Raw genomic sequence first — 20,338 nt, forward strand, 5'->3', positions numbered from 1 at the left:
TGTATCTCTCTTACTTACTATCATGATGTTGACATTTCTGAGGAGTACAGGCCAGTTGTTTTGTAGAATGTCCCTAAACGTCAGGTTGTCTGGTGTTTCCTCATGATTAAATTCAGGTTAGGCACCTTTGCTACCTCTATTGAACATATTTAGCGAACTGGATATTGCAACGTCAATCTGAAACAATGGCAAAATGAAAAAGGAGGCTACAACAACCACAAAGAGGTGTGTGATGCTAATCATGAGTTTGACAGAAGCAGAACTTCTCAGTATTCCTCAACTTCATACGATAAGAATAGTCCCAATTATAACAGTCAAATTAGTAATATTCTTGAAATAATAATTAAATTTTTTATTTTAAAATTCCGAACTGTATCTCTTTCTCTCTCTCTCATATTCCAGGTACATATTCACCAGATATTTCTAATCTGCCATTTCATCTCCTGAGAAATACCCATCAGAAAGGAGAACAACTATTGTATAAAATCGGTTCTTATTCTTTGGTGAGATGGAGCCCTCGATGAATGGTCATTGAGTTTTGTGGTTTGAAAACCAACTCCTTTTACATTTGGTTATGAAAACCCGAGTTTTTCATACCTGTTAACCTCTTGGTAAGCTGATAAACCTGTATTTCTGAAACTGCAAAACTGAGACTCACAGGAAGCCACTGGGGTATATCAAGCTTTACAAGTGTTCCTCCTCTTATCCTGGGTTGCCTTTCACAAAACAGTTCCTAAGGATGACCAATAAGACATAGGAAGCAGAGAATTTTCATAAATTTAGCAGTGTCTAAATAATCAGAAAGATCAAAAATCCTTTCAGAGTTGATAGAGGGTTCCTGTATAATTCAGCAAGTGACCTCAATAGAAACATTGTGCCACAGGCTTCCCTTTGGCAAAACCAGAAAAGAATTTGTGATTGTTTACTTAGAGAAAAAATATTTTCTTATGAGCTAAAGAGCCAAATACAACCGTCTATGGCATTTCCAAGAGAACCACTTTTTGCCTTCATGAGAGCTTCATCATGCTACCATATCTCCTTATCTAGAGAATATTTTAAAGACATTTTTAAAATTAAGAGTGTCAGTAACCAAAACACAAAGACTATAAATTGAATTAGGAGATGCCATGGTCCTACAGTCAAGAGATTTTTCATTATGGGAATCCTTGCATTTAAAGTAGAGGAATTTTAAATCCTTTGTCTAAGTCTACAGGATATAATAAATACATATTTTTTCTAAAATTAATAATTCGAAGGGTTTTGCATGAAACTGAAGACTAACTTTTAAATTAAACTAGTATTATGCATTCTAATAATTGAATGCTTCAATTCATAATTGACTTTTTAAGCTATTTCATAGAATACAGTGAGAAAGAGATTGCCAAAGCCCACATCATCAACATAAGTAGGATTCTATAAACGAGACCTGCAGATGAGTATTTAAATTTAGGTTTATGCATACAATTTAGTTATTTTAGATGGGGTTGATGCAGAGATTTTTTTTTTCCAACGAGAGATGAAAGAAAACCCAGAACTGAATTGCCCACAAGTCTTTTGAGTTATGAAGTAATTTGAGAATAGAAATTTCTTCTATGTAATTCACCTTTTCATTCTGGGATTATAGTTGTGGTACTAGAATAAGCATGAGCATATTGTTCAATGGAGTAGAATTGGGAGTCCCTACATCTATGGCCAATGTATTTCAACAAGGGCACTAAGACAATTTAAGAGGAAAAGAGGAGTCTTTTCAACAAATGGTGCTGGGACAACTACATGTACACATGCAAAGAATGAAATTGGATCCCTAACTCACACCATATACAAAAATTAACTCAAAATGGATCAAAAACCCAAATGTAAAACCTAAAGCCATAAAACTCTTAGAAAAAATACAGACCTTAATTTTTGTGATCTTGGATTGGGTAATGGATTCTTAGATATGACAACAAAAACACAACCAACAAAAGAAAAAATAAAGTGGACATGGACATCACCAAAATTAAACACTTTTATGCTTCAAAATATACTAACAAGAAAGTGAAAATACAAACCACAGAATTGAAGAAAATATTTGCCTATCATATATCTGATATGGTTCTAACATCCAGAATGTATAAAGAATTCTTAAAATGCAACAATAAAAAGAAAAATAATCAATTTTTAAGTGGGAAAAGGATTTGTAGACATTCCTCTAAAGAAGATATACAAATGGCAAATAAACACATGAAAAAAATGCTCAATATCATTAGTCATTAGGGAAATGTAAATCAAATCACAATGAGGTGTCCCTTCATATCAATGAGGATGGCAACAATAAAAAAGATGGACAATAACCAGTGTTGGCCAGGACATGGATAAATTGGAACTCTTATACAGTGCTGGTGGGAATACAGAGTGATGCAGCCACTCAGAAAAGCAACTGGTAGCTCCTCAAGATGTCAAACATTGAGTCATCATATGGCCACACAGAAAAGTTTCTGTAATGTCCATGCAGGACATACAGTACTGTCCATAGCAGCATAATTCATAATAGCAAAAAAATGGAAACAATGCAAATGTCCATCAATTGATGAATAAACAAAATCTGATACATCCAATTAATGGAATATTATTTAGCCATAAAAAGGAACAAAGTATTGATACATGGTGTAAGATGGATGAATCTTGAAAACATTATGCTAACTTTTTTTATGGTTAAACATTATGCTTAAGAGAAAGCAGCCAGACACAAAAGGACATATATTATATGATGCCACTCGTATGAAATGTACAGTATAGTAAATATATAGAGATAGAAAGCAGTAGCCAGAAACTGGGGTAATGGGGAATGGGGAATGAGGGCATGAGGGTGTTTTTTAGGGTGATGAAAACACGCTGGAATTAGTGATGATGGTTACATGAGTCTGTAAATACACTGACTTGTACACTTTAAATCGATAAATTTTATGGTATGTGAATTACATCTTAATAACCATAAATACATTTTAAAATAAAGCATTACTAGCATAGAAACAAAGACACAGAGAATTAGCTGAATTTCCCAAAGTTAGCAGCAGAACCTGCATTCTGATTTGCAAATCCATGTATTTTAATCTATTCTTCACTGTGATTAGCTGCACCTAACCCAATTCCCATAGTGAAACTCTCATCTGGTTTCCGGTTAATTACTGAGGTTTTAGACCCAGCATAGTAGCTCATGACTGTAATCCCAGCACTTTGGGAGGCCAAGGCAGACGGATCACTTGAGGCTAGAAGTTCAAGACCAGCCTGGGCAACATAGCAGGACTCCATCGCTACAAAAAAATTAAAAATTAGCTGGGCAGGCTGGGCATGGTGGCTCATGCCTATACTCCAAGCACTTTGGAAGGCCTAGGTGGGCAGATTGCTTGAATCCAGGAGTTCGAGACTAGCCTGGGCAACATGGTGAAATCCCATCTCTACTAAAAAGTGCAAAAATTAGCCACATACGGTGGCAAGTGCATGTAGCCTCAGCTACTCGAGGGGGCTGAGGTGAGAGGATCACTTGAGCCTGGGAGATCAAGGCTGCAGTGACCGAAGACCATGCCACTGCACTCCAGTCTGGGCAACAGAGGGAGACCCTATCTCAAAAAAAAAAAAAAATTAGTTGGCTATGATGGACTGCACTTGTAGTCCCAGCTGCTCAGGAAGCTGAGGCAGGAGGATCCCTTGAGCCCAGGGGTTAGAGGCTGCAGCAGAGAGCCATGATTACATCAGTGCACTCTAGCCTGGGTGACACAGCAAGACCCTGTCTCTAAAAAAAAAAGAAAAAGAAAAAAAAAAGAAATTGAAGTTTTATGTCAAATCTATTGGAAAGTATTTCCCTGCTTACTCACTGTGTAAACTTCAGTTTACTTGAGATCCAAATTTACTCCTACATCATCAGTTTACTTAGGATCAACTTTTAAGTGAATTAGTAGACATTTACTGAGTACCTCCATGTGCCCAGTACTATGGCCATTGTTCAAAATGCTGAACTCAAGCTCAGTAAGTCAGGAAACTAGAAATACAGGTTGAGAAATCACTGGTCTACAGGTGATAGTTAAATTGGATGAAATTGCTCAGGAAGAACACGCAGAGGGAGGAGAGGAGCTAGGCTGGAAGCCAGCGCACCTGGGCGTTTCGGAGCATCAGAAACCACCTACCAGTGACAGGTGCTGATAGGAAGTGATTAGTGAATGAGAGAGGTGAGAGAAAGTTATCCCACCTTATATTAAGCCTTACACCTTATCACAGTGCATTGGTTTTGTTTGTTTGACATGGCTGTCTCCCTTGTTAATCCCTGAGATCCTCAGGGTTCTGACTTGCTCTATTGCAAAAAAGGTATTTAGATAAGTCACCAGGGCCCTCCAAATTGTAAGATTCCATAGATTTTCTCCACTCCTTATTTAATCACTGCATTGCATTTGATACTGTTAACCAGTACATATCTCATTGTTTGTTACAATGTGGGCATAAAAATGGTGCTCCTCTCTTGGAAGCCCAGAAAGAACAGCTGCTTTGAACATAAGGCTGAACTGGCATGGCACAGAATCCTCGCACTGTGTGCTACCACCTCTCCCCTACCCCCTCCTCCTCCCCGCAGTCCCCCACACCTTGCCCTCCACTGTCTCCCCTGCAGAACCAATTCCTTGCATAGCTCTTTGTGATGCTGCCTCTCTGAGGCTCTATCCAGGGGGCGCCACCACAAACGAAAAAGAAAGACCCAGGGTCTCTATTGAACAGAACAACAGTAGGGGAAGAGTCTTGGCTCCACCCAAAACATATCACTTTACACAAGCTTCATGATACCTGTCCTGGCTCTGTCTCCTAGGCAGGACCCTGCCCTTTCTTGGCTCTCTAAACATGATGTACTCATTATAATATTTTTTATAAGGAATCCAGACCAATCATGGTGGCTCATGCCTGTAATCCCAGTGCTCTGGAAGGCTGAGGCAGGAGGATTGCTTGAGGCCAGGAGCTCAAGATCAGCCTGGGCAACATAGTGAGACCCCATCTCTACAAAAATTAAAATTAAAAGAAAATTGACCATCACATATGGGCATGCTTCTTTCTATTCTACACTCATCCTGAGCCATTTCGTCTACTCTTATGTTGTCAGCCCTAATCTATATATTCATAATTAACTTATATTTTTCAGATCTGCTCCTGAGCTCCAATGCCCTATATCCATCTCATCCTTGCACGTCTCAAATTCAGCATGCCAAAAAATGTTATTCTTTCTCCCAAAGATATGTTTTTTCAACATGTCTGCTATCATATACCCTTTAACCCAAGCCCACAGTCTAGGAATCAACCTCTCTCTTTCTTTCTCTCCAAAAACCAATTGATAAGGAAATCCTCCTCTCCATTCTACCTCCATAACATATTTTAGATCCAGCAGCATGCTCATTAGTATGTCTCATTTTATATCCCCATCACTTCTCTCCTAAATGACTACCACTAACTTATGGTCTCCTTACCTCCCACCACGCCTTTACTCCAATCTACAGAAAGATGGCGCTTTCTCAAATACAAAATCAAATATTTAATTCACCAGATGAAAAATCTTTAGCGACCTATACCATGGTTCTCAAATTTCCCATCAGGTCACCCTGGGACACCACAGGGAACAAACTCACAAGGTTGCTGTGGGATATTTTAAATGTTTGAGAGAAATACAGCCCCACCTATCAAACACCTCACAAATGACCACTAATATGTTGTTTAGACTTACCTACTTAACGAATGGAATTGTGAAGTATGTCTTCTGGCTGAGGGCACCATGAACAAATTACGAAGATGCTACAGATGCAGTGAGCTGGAAAGTTTGGGAACCTATGACTTACCAAACATCTTCAAGCCTCCTACGTTGGCATGAACTCATCTTTACCTACTGCTCCAGCCTTGTTTTGATCCTTACTGTGCCTTTCTTTTCCCCCCAGTCCTACACTACAGCCAAGCAGACAGGCTTGGATCTCCCCAAATACATCCTTCTTGCCATCCTGATTGGTTAGGCCCTGAAACCTAAGAGAGTAGGGACCTGGAGCTCCCGGAGTCTAGGTGTGAGACCAGGTGCCCTTCATGGAACACAGATGAAGTAGATAAACCAGGAAGGGCATTCCAGAATTCTCATGCCTGATGGATTCTGTTTGAGTCGGATTCTACATGGATTCTACATGAGTTGGATTCTAATCTGAAGTTTGGAAAAAAAAAAAAAAAAAGCTTGAACATTCCTGGGAATTCCATGCATATTTGTCAGGCCAAGGGAAGGGAGGAGGCCAGCTCCGTCATCCCTACCCTGCCTGTGATTTTCTACAGAGGTCTGTATTATTCCAGGGGAGGAGGCAAAGAGACAACCAACCAGGAAAGTGAGATTGCTTTTATTAATGGCTGTATCACCCCTGTCCTTCCCTGAAAAGAGACATCACACCTGAGATCCAGAAATGGCTGCTCCTTTCTTTGTACCCCATTTTATCTCATTCATCATTCTAAGCCCGGCATGGTGGCTCATGCCTGTAATCCCAGCACTTTGGGAAGTCAATGTGGGAAGGCCGCTTGAGCTCAGGAGTTCAAGACAAGCCTGGCTAACTTAGCAAGACCCCATTTCTACAAAAGATAAAATAATTAGCCTGCATAGTTCCAACTACTCAGGAGGCTGAGGCAGGAGAATTGCTTGAGCCAGGGAGCCCGAGGTTATAGTGAGCTATAATCGTGCCACTGCACTCCAGGCTGGGTGACAGAGTAAGAACCCTGTCAAAGAAAAAAAAAAAAACCCACAAAACATATTATTTATTTATTTTGAGACAAAGTTTTCTCTTGTTGCCCAGGCTGCAGTGCAATGGCGTGATCTCAGCTCACTGCAATCTCTGCCTCTTGGGTTCAAGCAATTCTCCTGCCTCAGCCTCCCAGTCGCTGGGATTACAGGTGCCTGCCACCACGCCCAGCTAATTTTTGTTATTTTTTATTAGAGACGGGGTTTCACCATGTTGGCCAGGCTAGTCTCAAACTCCTGACCTCAGGTGATCCACCCGCCTCAGCCTCCCAAAGTGCTGAGATTACAGGCATGAGCCACCACACCCGGCCCACGAAACATAATTTTATCACAGTATCTATAACATTCTTTTGCACTTATTTATTCACCTGTCTGCCCCACTAGGCTATAAACTTGTGAAGGTTCAGGACCATGCATGACTCATTTTTTCATTCTCTTTGCCCAGCAGAGTGACTAATACACAGTAAGTGATGAGTGGGTATTTGATGAATACATAAATTTCAAAAAGGGTGTGGCTAAGCCCCACAAAAAGTTCAAGTAAGTTAGAAAATAAACACTGTCCATTGGATGAAAAAGTTCAGAAGTAACTGATGACATTACGCAAAGATATTTTAAGGGAGTGATGGCTTTCAGGGAGATGTAGCTGACAGTGTTTACTGCCTACCCAAAAACCATTCCTCTGTTTCTTCTTTGCTTAACTGAATTCCAGTTTGATTTAGGCATTGAGCAAATTCCCTTTGATGTGGAAATGTGGGCCTCTACCCCAGATAAAGGGTGATAATATGTCCCAGTTCTGGCTAATATGATGTAAGAGGAAATCCTTTGGTGGGGCATTTTGGAAAATATTATACTTCCTTGACGTGAGTAAGACTCACCAAGAACAAATTTTCTGTTGCCTTCCCACCCAGCAGTCAGTGTGGTTTTTGTACTTACGGCAGCCATTTTGCAACTATGATATGAAGGTCAACTGAATCACAGAGGTGATATCACTGAACCCCCAAGAAAACACTAGCAACTCTTTATCTACAGACTTCTTGTCACATAAGAAAAATGAGCCTCTGTGTTAGCTGGGTTGTCTGTTACATTCTAACTGATATAAGAAGAGAGAAAAGAGAGACAAATGAGAGACCACTGTTCTTAGTGAATATATTACAACTAGTACAGTTTGGTGGCTGCAGGATACAGAGTTTGTTTGGTAATTTTGGAAAGAGGCTGGAAATGGAAAAGCAATGGGTTACAGGGGCTTCTAATGCCAATGAAGAGAAAGGCTTTAATTTTGTTGGCAATAGGGGGCTATAGAGGTTTTGGGGTAATGTTTTGGAACTTTAAGAAGAGTGCTTTGGCAGAAATCAGCAGGGTCTATATGTGCCCAAAGAGTGATGCCTCAGAAGCAATGCATTTGGCATAATCATATTGGTATTGTCCACCACGAGAATCACTTGGTATACAAACCTGGCTCACTCAGTTCACACTGAATAAGCAAAACAATAACCACTTGGCTTCATGATGCTTTTCGACCTAAAATAAACACAAGGTATCAAAGCAAATGAAATGTTACATCTTTCCAGTGCTCCATATGAATAATCCCTGTGGAAGTTATAAGTAAACAAAACTTCTGTTCATAAAAAGTATCAATGACAGATGTAAATACTGTATAAACTCCTGCCATATAAAAGGAGAAAATGAGATCTCACATATCCTTCCACAATACCAATTCCTGACACTTAGCACAACAAATTAGACACACTTAATAATTATTACACACTAGGCTTGAGATTATTCAATAGTTTTTTAACCGTGTTTCTATAATGGTGTGGAGGTTTTTGTTTGCTCACTTTTTAAAAACATTTTCCACGATTTCATTATAGGAGAATAAATGCTCTTATACATAGTCATAGTTTCAAATATGTTTCTGTTCTTCTCATTTAAATCTACTCAGAAAACAAGCTTACAACAGAAGCCAAACTAGGAAAATCTCTGCTGTGAGTATCATATAATATTCAAACACTGCCCAGGAAAAACACTGGGGAATGGTGTTTTCTTTGCCCTCAAAGAAAAGCACGTGAACACCATCTTACAAGATTATTATTGACTAAGGAAAAGAAATGTGTCATTTGTTCATTCTTTAGACTAGGAATTGATGTTAGAGATTTTTAAATAAATTATAACAAGCTTTTAACAATCTACAAAGAACAAAAAGTGTTAATGTCTTCCCATAGTTGCCTCTGATCTTTTTATAAAGAATTGCTGTGGGCTGGGCGCAGTGGCTCATGCCTGTAATCCCAGCACTTTGGGAGGCTGAGGTGGGCGGATCAACTGAGGTCAGGAGTTCGAGACCAGCCTGGCCAAAATGGTGAAACTCCGTCTCTACTAAAAAACACAAAAATTAGACGGGCATGGTGGCAGGTGCCTTAACTGGCTACTTGGGAGGCAGAGGCAGGAGAATCATTTGAACCCGAGAGGCGGAGGTTGCAGTGAGCCGAGATCGAGTCATTGTACTCAAGCCTGGGGGACAAAAGCAAGACTCTGTCTCAAAAAAAAAAAAAAAAAGAGTTGTTGCCCCCTGGGCAGGAAGTTGTTGCCCTCTTCCTATTCCCCCTCCTTCCTTCTTTCTTTCTATCCCAAAGGAAATTACATTTTTTGAAGTTGATATGTATTCATCCTATTGATAGTACTATACTTTCACTTCATATGTATATATCCTGGCCCACATCTTTTATTTATGAAATTCATTATACATAAATTAGTAAATTCTTTCTATATAAGTTATTTATACATTTTGAATATGAATCCTTCACCAAGTACATGCCTTGAAAATATCTTCTCAGTTTATCTTGTAACATTTTATGATATCTTTTGTCATGTAAAAAGTATTTTTAAAAATTTTTATATACAGTCACATGGCACTCAACTACAGGGACATATTCTGAGAAATAGGTCCATAGGCAGTTTTGTCATGCTAACATCATAGAGTGTAATTACACAAACCTAGATGGTTTGTATATGGTACAAGCCTATTGCTCCTAGGCTGCAAACCTGTACAGCATGTGACTGTATTGAATACTGTAGGCAATTGTAACACAATGGTATTTGTATAATTAGACACATCTACACATAGAAAAGGTACAGTAAATATACAATATTATAACCTTATGGGACTATTATCATGTATTGACTAACATATCATTATTTGGAGCATGACTGTCATCCAATTGATCATTTCCTTAATGGATTGTGTATTTTAATGTTTTGTTTAAGAAATCCTTTCATACTACAAATTCTATATTTCCTTTCAATTTTTTTTGTTTTTTTTTGAGATGGAGAGTTACAGAGATAACTCTGCTGCCAGGCTAGAGTGCAGTGGCGCGATCTCGGCTCACTGCAATCGCTGCCTCCCAGGTTCAAGCGATTCTCCTGCCTCAGCCTCCCGAGTAGCTGGGATTACAGGCATGTGCCACCACAACCAGCTAATTTTTGTATTTTTACTAGAGATAGGGTTTCCCCATGTTGGCCAAGATGGTCTCAATCTCCTGACCTCGTGATCTGCCCGCCTTGGCCTCCCAAAGTGCTGGGATTACAGGCGTGAGCCACTGCGCCCAGCCTTCCAATATTTTTTTAATTCTATTTTTCTTATTTAACTTTTTAATTGATCTGAAACTGAATTTGTATGTGGGCAAAAGAAGGGATCTAATTTTATTTTTTTCTTATGAATGTTTGTTTTCTAAATAAGAGAAAATAAAGGAAGCTCAATTGCTCTTTATAATCCGTAAACCCCTTAACAACAGTCACTATGATTTATATTCATCCCATCAATACACTTCCTCAAAGTACTTTGAACATTACTGGTACATAATCTATATTTTTTGGAGAAGAGATACTTTTTTCCAGCCCCCATTGCTTAGACTATATACCAGTTGTCCACCTAAAATAATCTAAGTTGTGCTTAATTTATCCCCCTGAGCAGGAAATAGCATCTTAATAGGATTAACTTGGTATAAGCACTGAATAATTCCAATTAAACTGAAGGGTATTAATCACTTCCCTAACTTTGCCCATTTTTAGAAAGTTCTTCTGGAGAAAAATCTACCTACTCATCAAGTTAGATTCATTTATTTATCTACGAGGAGAAATGCATAACAAAGAAGTAGGAACCTGGACTAAAAACACATTTTAACCTATTTTATAAGACTTTTAAAAATCAACTGTTTGAGTCAAAGAACTACCTGTACGAACCTCAAGTTGATTGATGTTTTTTAAGGGTACCAGTTTACAGATTTAGGCTCTCAACAGGGCCTAGTTGCATTGGTTTAGTCCTTGCCAACACCTATTTACTTTCTCCTTTCTTTTATAAAGAAACAGTCTGAAATTAAGATATGTTTGTAACCTAATTTTAATCAAAGGCAATTAATGAAAACCAAGAAAGGAAATTTTTTAAGGAAACATTCTAAGATGTTTTTGAAGAATACTTCTCTAACACTTTTTGAAAAGAATCTCCTTACAAAATTTTGCTCTTTTCAAACAGTTCCAGGGGCATTAGCATCTCACAGGGATGAACACCTGTTTTGTTTGTTTGTTTGTTTGTTTTGGGGGGGTGGTTTTTGTTTTTGTTTTTTTGCTCGAGGATGGGGTTCTAACAGACCATGGTGAGAAGATAAAACTAACCAGAAGGTGTGAGAATAAACTGACAATTGTAAATAAAGTGAAATATAGTTGGTAAAAAAGAAAACACATAAAAACTTGGGAAGCAAAATCATTTTCTTTTCAAACACTGCATGTAAACTAATTTTTATTTATTTATTTATTTATCTATCTATCTATCTATTTATTTATTTATTTATTTATTTACCACGACTAAGGAGAGTCACTCAGATAGAAAAGATGTCATTGCTTCCAGCTTTTTACTGAGGGAAGCCCGTCACTTGAAATTGCTTCTATTAGCAGGTTCCCTAATAAAACCAAGGCAAATCCTGCACAGCCTCAAAAAAAAAAAAAAAGTTTCTACTACGATTCTGCAGTCAGTATCACCGTCTGTTTTATCTTTAATGTAGCAACGTATTTTTCATGGTTCCGCTTAACAGCGCTTAGAGACCTTGAACTTCAAAATCAGAATGCATCTTAGAGGAACTATCCCAGCACCACAATTTGGGGACGTGGGGACGTTGTGTATTCAAAAGCATTAATCTGTTTTGACTTCATCCTTTCTTTAAAAGGATCAAAAGTCAGCCATAAGTGTAAAAGAAAAACTAATTTTAAAAAAGTTTAGCCTTAAAAACATAACTATCTCAGCGCGTGGGGGTTCCCTCTGTTCAAAAGAAAACAAGAAAAAAAAAAGATGGACATTGCTGTCTTCTTTGCACGCTTCTCTTAAAATCCTCATTGGAAGCCCCCCTGGGAAAATGAGACTCCGATTTCTCACCTGTTTAAAATCACGCCACAGCAACGAATCACTGCAAAAGCAAGGTTCTAACTTAAAACAAAAAGAGAAAGTATTCGCTTCTGCGGAGAACCCGAGCCTCCTCCTGGGCGGGCGACGCTCGGCTGATGGGACCGGGCCGCGCAAGCCTCGGATGCAGCCGGGTGGGGGGCACCAGGCGCTAGGCGAAGGAGCGCAGGACCAAAGGAGATGCTTGGCTCCTAAGATAACACCTTTAAAAAGAAGAAGAAGAAAGAAAGAAAAACAAACAAACAAACTCGATACTTAGCCTCACGATCCTTGCCACCCCCTCCCTGCTCCGCCACCCACACACAAAATAAAGTGAGCCGGGCGGGGGAGTGCGCGCCCTGAAAGGGAACAAGAAGCAAGGCGCCTGTGACACAAAATGGAGAAAGAGGAACCGGGAGTGGAAAGGAAGAAGGAAAACCGAGTAAAGGAGGTTATTCATAAGAACAGGAAAGGGGCCGAGGGGTAGAGAACACCCGAAGGAAAGCGCAGGAGGCCCTCGTGAGAGGGCAAGGGGGAAAAGATCGACGAAGTAAGAGCGAAAAGAGGAAAGGAAAGAAAGACTTTCTAGATGCGGAGTCTCCATTTTCAGCAGCGCCATATTCGCTTTTCCTCTCGCCGCTTTTGGCTGGGTTTTGTGTGCGGCGGTGGACAGGCGCCAGCACATTTCTGCAGCTTCAGCAGCTCTGCTCAGACACCTGGGGAGGGCCGCAGGGCCCGGGCGGGGGACGCGCGCTCTTGGCCCAGGCCCGGGCGCGGCCCCCTCCCCGGCCTGGCGGTTCCTGCGCAGCGCCAGCCCCGCGCTCCTCTAGGCTGCAAAGGGGGCCTCCGACTCGGGCCCGGCCCGGAGGGGACACCTCACTCGGGGCCCCGCGGCAGCCCCCAGGGGACGCGGGCCCTCTAGTTTCGCCCACGGTGTGGCTGGGCATGCGTGCCAAGGGGATGCGTAACCGAGAACCGAAAAAGACGAACTTAACCTTCGGGGAGGAGGAGAGGGCGCACGCTGCGGGTACCGGGGCTTGGGGGCGCTCCTGGAGGTGACGGGGTCACCTCCACCTGCGCGGGGCCACTCTCTGGGAGCCGGCGATCGATGCCCGCCGCGGCGCCTGGCCCAGGCCCCCAGGCCTCTCGCGGCTCCCGGAAAAACGTCCGAGGTCGGGGCTCGGCCGGGAGCCCCAAGCGGGTCCCCTGGCCTCGGGACGCCAGTCCGGGAGGCGGCCGGAACTCCGGTTTTCGCGGTTCTCAGCGATATTAGGCGCGGCCAGTGTCTGAAAGCTCCTCGGGGTTACGTCCTGGGGCGACTGGAGGCGGCTCACGACTCAGAAAGTCGGGGCTTCTCGCCCCGGATCCCCACCGCTGGCGTCTGTCGAATCCCCACCTCGGTCCTCGGGTAGAGGCGCAAGCGCGCCCCAAGACCATTCTCTTCGCGCCCACCCCCGTTATTCTTCACTTTCACTTGACATCGTTCTTCACTCAAGGTTAGGTCCTCGCTAGTGCCAGAGAAGCCCCTGGGTCCCCAGTGCCCTCAGCCCCGCAGCGTAGGGAGCAGCCGGCCCGGGAGATAAGGAGGCCACAGCCATGGAGGCCCCAGGCCCGGAGTCCCCGCGCCGTCGGGTTTTGAGCCGCGCGGCTGGCCAGGACCGCCGGCTCCTTCTCTGTCCCGGTCCTCCGCTCGCAGCCCCGCAGAGGTGACGGTACCTGGAGGCTGGAAGCGACGGTTTCCTCGGGCCGGTGGAGGGAAACATGTCAGGGTCACAGCGAAGGAAACCGAGACCCACAGGGGTCCCCGGGCGTCCGGGACGCGTCGCTGGTTTTGCTCCTAGAAGGAAAGGCCTTCCCGCTTTTGTTCCACCGGCTCACCAGGTCCTCCCTTCCTGGCCAACTCTAACCTCAGCTTTGTGCGTGTCACCCGGCCCCGGGATAATCGGATCCTCCCAGACCCGGGAATCCATCAGAAGCGCTACCCGTACTTGGCGCCCTGAAAGTTCCCCAAGCGCAGCGGCCGCGCCCTCGAGTGCATCCACTCCGCGAGCCACGGGCGGCGCCTGCCCACCCGCGGCTCGGCTTTGCGTGTTGTAAGCCGACTATTCTATCACCATTGCAGGATAAGCTGGCCTTTAAATTTTCAAAGAACATTTAGGTTATTTTCAACAGTTCATGCTTTTCATATCTGTCTTTTCAGACTGCAGATTTCCACAAGGAAAAATGTATCTTTCCTAGACGGCAAAAAGCAGATTTATTTTCCTTTTTAAAAAGTTGCCTTAAAACGCCTATCTCATAGTACTTGGGGATTAAACTGTTTCCCCTAAGAGAAAGTTCAACGGCTAAGCTCAAACGTTAGTCTTGACACCTTTAGTTAAGATGATCCTTTCCCAGTGTTGTTAGTGAAATGTTAAAATCAAAATTTCAAAATGAAGTAGATGTTTTATGTCTTTAGAACATTCCAGAAATTTAAGAACTAAAAATATTGACAAGGTGCAAGGCCTAGTTCACAAATAACATTCCAGCTTCTGTTTCTGTGAGAGTTCTTTTTTAAGGCTATGAAAGATTTTTGAAGTTAAAGTATTCATAGCTGGAACAGACATTTATCATTTGACAACATATGAAATTTTAAATTGTGCATTGTAAGTCTCATGTTTATGTTATGTTTCTTGGATATATTCCATGGCATTTTGTGCTTCTCTCTTTTATGGGAAAGCTTACAATTAACTTACCAGGTTTTTCTTTTAATTTAATCAGGATTAGATTAAAAAAAAAACCCTAAAGCTACTTAGTAAAAGATATTTTATGGCAGCCAAATACAAAAATGAATAAAGCTTAAAGTAAGTTATTTTCTCATCTCTCAAGGATGGTTTCCTTCTGAAATAAAAATTGGAAGTTGTACTTTGGTAGGTGTTCTTATCCACTCAAATCTAGCCACCGAATGCAAGTGATTAGGTATTAAGGCCTACTTAAAAAAAAAAACTCATTGTGAAGCATTTATTAAACCCTAGAAAGAACATTTTTCTTTCATGAGGCCATGTACTGATCAACTTTCAATGCAGAGCAAAGATCAATGGGTGCCACTTCTAGCATTTCAGGTGTTAAATATTGCTAGGTAATATGGAATTCAAAAGGAAAATCATCTCTATTTGATAGATTTGTAATGTAAAAGAAGGCATACAATCAGAGTCTTGGAATTCAGATGCAGAATGTTAAATACAGCTCTTATGTTTTATTCAAAATCCATTTAGAAAGGAAATATAAATGACCTTCATAGCAAGTTTTTGGAAAGATAATACTTAGGAATAGCAAAAAGCTAGTTCACAAATGTCCAGTGTTTGATAGTCAATATATAACACACACAATCTTTACAGAACTATATACTTATTTTTAATAATGCCTGTTGGTATATTTTAAATGGTCCTTATTTGTATTATAAATACCTCAAATTTCAATTATCTGCAATTTTTACATTTTTGAAGTACATTTTCTTAAATCCCAGATTTTGTTATATGTCAGCACATGGAATACATACAGGTATTTCATTCTAACAGAATGAAAATGTAAATATCTAAAATAAGGTATGTATCATACTATCATAGGAATCAGCAAAGAAAATCATTTCACTATAATTCTATTGGCATTTTAAGAACATTCAATGGAAAACATAAATTTCCAATTTATTAAGACCTTATTTTTGTACCTAATTATTAAAGAGTAATACCATCTATGTTCTCTAACAGCCCCTTCCTAATCCATTGCTTTATTAAATACTCTTCTGATTATGTCTACTTGATACCAAGCATTATCAAACACTTAAATAATGAAATGAAATATTTTCATTTCCCTTTTTGTTTATGCTGTTTCTTAATTGTTTTATGAGAAATTGATATAGTTCAAAGATAACAAATGTAAATCTAAAATTAAGATGAACACTTGCATTAATTTATTAAATACATAAAATTCATAGAGGTCCAAGGCAATTAGTGTGTTGAAAACAAATATTAATATATACAGGAAGTTCAAGGGTTACAACTCTTTATGTTACCTGGAAATGTAGGAGTAGCATTCTCTTTTTAAATTTTTGACATTATCTCTTGCTTTAGGAGAGTTGTATATGATACCAAACATTCTGAGAGTATGTGTGACAGTGCTGGTGGTGTAGAGGTGATGGAGTGGAGGTGGTATTAAAATCATTGTATAGCTTTTTCATCTACATCCTTGTTTGAAAACATTTTTGTTTGTTTGCAGCTAAATATCCGGCAATATGTTCAATGCCTCAGGCAATTCCTTAGGTAATTGTAAAGACCTAAAAGTAAACAAGCAAAAGAACATTGATCAGCCAAAATGTTATAGTTTTCATGTCACAAAAAAGAACTGTATATAAGCCATTGATTTTAAGTGGAATTAATGAAAATTCTACAAAGTACTACAGAAAAATTACATAGTCATATTGCTGAATAAGAATGTATTGCCACAATAAATGCAATATTTTTTAGAAGTCAGTAATCTTTTACAGTAGTTTCCACACTTTGTATCTAGTTTTTAATTCATCAATTTATGATAGTACAAGTGCTCCAAATTGAATTGTTTTTAAACATATGGAATACCCAGATGATTTTGTACATGAGGAATAAGAAGAAACTATTGGAATTCTTGATTACTAATAATGGTCTCAACACGATAGCAGAATTTCATAAATCAATTATATGCTCCATTTGAAGGTGATAAAGCATAATTAACTTACTTGACACCAACACAACCAATGTTTTGTTTCTTCACAGAACAGGCTATGAGCTATTTTCAATTATTGCACTGAAATGCTGTCCTCTAAAATTAACAAATGAATGAAGCATTTGCAAACTGGACATTGCACTGAGAACAACGTAGAGTGAAACTATCCAGTTGTTTTTCTAATTATATTTTATCTACTTAGATAATAGGAACTAGCAATTACTAATGTTTTTTTTTTAACTAAGCAATTTGGTGGGAAAAAACATCACCTAAAGTAATGTATTATTCTTATGAACAATGTGAAACAAAATTAATCATTTGGAATGGCATCTAGATAGTAGGACTTTAATTCTTAATTTAGAGTATTGAGCATAAAATACTATGGTTTTATTGAATCTTTTACCATGCCATTTCTTACAGTAAAAAAGGAAAAATAGAAATGGAATATCTAGATAATTAAAATAAACATTTTCTGGTTATGTGAAACAAAGGAGAGTTTTAAGGGGTAGAAGAGGAAGGTGCAGAATTCTTATCTGCCTTCCTAGCAGACAGAGTAGGCAAGTGGCTACTTGATCCAATTTCAAGGACAACTGCAAACAGTGCATCCTCCCCAAATATTTCCATCACCCATTTACTGATGCATTCACCATTTTTGTAGTTTAAAAATTTGAACCTCAATAAAATCCAAATGCTACTGAGAAAACTCACATTCTAAGCTGTTGTCAATTATTTATACCTTTGAATGAGTATCAGAGCAAACGTTGCTGGAAGAAAAAGTTTCGGGACCTTGAATAATTAATGTGAATGGGACAGGAGAACTTGAGGAAGGATGTGCAGAGAAACGGCTGAATTGCTGAGCAACAGAGAGAAACGTTTTTGTGTAGTTTTACCTGGTCTAAATTAACTAACTAGATAATGCCCTATTTTAACATAAACATTTAATGATGCATAACACACTTCATTTCATACTGTTCCCTATAGCTGGGCAATGATTACTCCAAGGTGTAATGGAAAACATGAATTAATTAGAGATTTCGGGTACGAACGTGACATGAATGTAAAATATACAGATCATTAAAATCATGTCTATAAAATAGAAATTAAAATATGAGTTTTGTAATGTATTTGACAACCAGATAATTTGTCTATCCACATAAATCAAACTAACCAGATTATTGCCATATTTCAGCTTTACTATGAACTGTGTTAATAAATATCATGACTAAATACTATCTCTTAAAGCATTTTGTAATAGATGTAAGGGTTTTTTCCCCTTTTGTTTATAGTAATAATAAATTTGCACATTGTGTGGAAATCAAGATCAACTGTTAAAATAGCCAAGCAATCATGTAATCGTTCAGTTACTTCAAACGTAAAGTAGGCTCAGATTTATTTTTTCCTAACAAACTGGTTCTAGTCCACTCAAGATTCTATCCAAAAAGCAGTATTTAGCACTTTTCAGGCTAATTCCAAACAAACGAAGATTAACAGATCATCAGTTTAGCTTCACACATGAAATTGAAAAATGAATTGCTGGTCAAAATGCTAAAAACACAAATGTGAAATTTATATGTGTTCCTTGTTCCTAAATATTGAAAAAATATCAACTAATCATCAAGTTTGCCAAAGCAAAAAAAAATTGAAATATAATTCCTAGTTAATTGGTTTACCATTCATTATTACTTCTCTTTGAATTCAGTAACTTATCAATGATTAAAGATGTGCTTCAACAAGTTAATTCTTTAAGTTCAAATAACTGGAAACCATTTTCTCAATGGTGCAGCATTTCTTAATGTCAGTTCAAGATGTTTGGAGACATATTGCTGATTTTAGAAGCTGATGTGTGCTGATTTATGAAGGAATTGTTTAGCTTGTACTCTGGGCTCTGATCAAGGGAGATACACTCTCAGATACAGCCTGGCATTTAAGGGTACCTCTTTCCTAGCTGATTATCTGCTTCCTGAGTTCAGTTGTAATAGCTTGCGAGCTTCTCCCATCCCATATGACTGGATTCTGATTTCTTATTTTCTGATAGCAGGGTAAACTTTGTTCTCCCTTATTACTAAACGTTGACTTGACAAATAAATAGACCTCCTGCATTTTAATGTTTGTCTGTTTTTGAAAAGATTCTCATCTGTTTCTCTGATCACAGCCTCCCGATCCCATTGCATGCAAACCCAGTGGCTCAGCAAACAGTCAATGCTATTTCTTCTGGTAGCGTGACCATCTGACCACCTGCCCCTCAGTAAGAATAGGGACTTGTCCTCTGTTGACAGGGTTTCCCTCTCAGCTGTGCCTGATGCCAGGCTGTCTAGGAATGGGAGTTCCAGCAGAACAGACCAGGAAAAATAGTGCCTTTGCAGTACCTCACAGTTGTGCTAGAACTTCTCTCAATTTCCCTTATTAACTAGATTAAAAATGAGTAATATTTTTTCAGCTTGTTTGTTGCCAAAGATTACCTTCCACCACCAGTTTATCTGAGAACATGGCCAATTAGTCCATCTTTTTTTTTTTTTTTTTTGAGACAGGGTCTTGCTCTGTCACCCAGGCTGGAGTACAGTGGTGCAATCTTAGCTCACTGCAGTCTGCAACTCCTGGGTTCAAGCAATCCTCCCACATGAGCCTCCGGAGTAGTTGGGACTAGAGGCACTTGCCACCACACCTGGCTAATTGTTTTTTGTTTTAAATTTTTTGTAGAGATGGTGGGCGGGGGGGGTCTCGCTATGTTGCCCAAGCTGGTCTTGAACTCCTGGCCTCAAGGAATCCTCCTATCTCTCTCTGCCTCCAAAATGGCTGTGATTATAGGCATGAGCCACTGTGCCCAGCATGGTCCATCTTCAGCTGAAAGGAAATAGAGGAACTATCTCCCGCATATTCCCATTTTCCCAGGGCTGTGCTAGCCCTGGCAATGACTGGTAAATTCTCTTCTTAGGATTAGATTTCTGGGTGGTAGAATATGAACACTAGAAAGGTCTGGACAAAGGCATCAGCATCCTTGGCCTCGTCTTGGCCTTTAAGCTTAAAAACTGTAGGGAGCACTGTGACTCTATCTTTACTAGTATTAGGTCCCCTAATCCTGGGCCACTGGCTTTGGCCCTGTGGCAGCTTTTGCTGAATTGCAGCACATCTTTGAAGCATCTCTACCAGCCATACAATTATAGAGAGCCAACGCTAGACTGTGTTTTGCATAGAAACTGAAATATATGTTAGTGCTTTAATTTATCATCATGTTTTCTGCCACACAGATCTCTCTGTTTTTACCAGTACTCAATACCTCTCTAAAGGATTCTTAATTAAATAAATGGTTGGCAGGGCCTAACCTTACCACTGAGTATTCTGCTTCCTTGAAGATGTGGTTTGGTCCTCTTGTTCTCAGATTTACCAGCTGTAATCGATTCAGATGGAGGTGT

At 39.8% G+C, this 20,338-nt stretch overlaps 3 long non-coding RNA genes across 4 annotated transcripts, besides 4 other annotated features; 1 reads left to right on the plus strand and 2 right to left on the minus strand.

Annotated features, from left to right (window-relative positions):
- Nucleotides 1-331: 331 nt before the first annotated feature.
- LOC124902391 (uncharacterized) lies at nucleotides 332-6,568 on the minus strand. The gene is made up of 2 exons (XR_007062086.1): nucleotides 5,735-6,568; nucleotides 332-733 (listed from the first exon to the last, which is right to left on the minus strand). It is a non-coding gene; the product is annotated as an uncharacterized LOC124902391 (long non-coding RNA).
- A 1,336-nt stretch (nucleotides 6,569-7,904) lies between these two features.
- LOC105376447 (uncharacterized) lies at nucleotides 7,905-19,029 on the minus strand. 2 transcript variants are annotated; one of them, XR_001747390.3, is made up of 2 exons: nucleotides 13,911-19,029; nucleotides 7,905-12,418 (listed from the first exon to the last, which is right to left on the minus strand). It is a non-coding gene; the product is annotated as an uncharacterized LOC105376447 (long non-coding RNA). The 2 variants fall into 2 exon arrangements; XR_001747389.3 differs by having other exon boundaries at nucleotides 13,190-19,029.
- Nucleotides 11,861-11,940: an enhancer, noted in NCBI's record as "active region_3128". NCBI's record gives its function as "activates an Ori minimal core promoter by ATAC-STARR-seq in GM12878 lymphoblastoid cells {active_cell/tissue: GM12878}" and the evidence as "EXISTENCE:reporter gene assay evidence [ECO:0000049][PMID:35858748]".
- On the plus strand, nucleotides 12,557-19,033 carry LOC100130992 (uncharacterized). Its single transcript, NR_038921.1, has one exon. It is a non-coding gene; the product is annotated as an uncharacterized LOC100130992 (long non-coding RNA).
- Nucleotides 12,891-13,410: a silencer, noted in NCBI's record as "silent region_2202". NCBI's record gives its function as "represses an Ori minimal core promoter by ATAC-STARR-seq in GM12878 lymphoblastoid cells {active_cell/tissue: GM12878}" and the evidence as "EXISTENCE:reporter gene assay evidence [ECO:0000049][PMID:35858748]".
- Nucleotides 13,821-13,940: a silencer, noted in NCBI's record as "silent region_2203". NCBI's record gives its function as "represses an Ori minimal core promoter by ATAC-STARR-seq in GM12878 lymphoblastoid cells {active_cell/tissue: GM12878}" and the evidence as "EXISTENCE:reporter gene assay evidence [ECO:0000049][PMID:35858748]".
- Nucleotides 14,043-14,739: an enhancer, noted in NCBI's record as "H3K4me1 hESC enhancer chr10:22542487-22543183 (GRCh37/hg19 assembly coordinates)". NCBI's record gives its function as "activates a minimal SCP1, AML or CMV promoter by ChIP-STARR-seq in primed H9 embryonic stem cells {active_cell/tissue: H9 hESC(primed)}" and the evidence as "EXISTENCE:reporter gene assay evidence [ECO:0000049][PMID:30033119]".
- Nucleotides 19,034-20,338: the final 1,305 nt, after the last annotated feature.

Source organism: Homo sapiens, chromosome 10, assembly GCF_000001405.40.
Source record: "Homo sapiens chromosome 10, GRCh38.p14 Primary Assembly".
NCBI classification, from domain to species: Eukaryota; Metazoa; Chordata; class Mammalia; order Primates; family Hominidae; genus Homo; species Homo sapiens.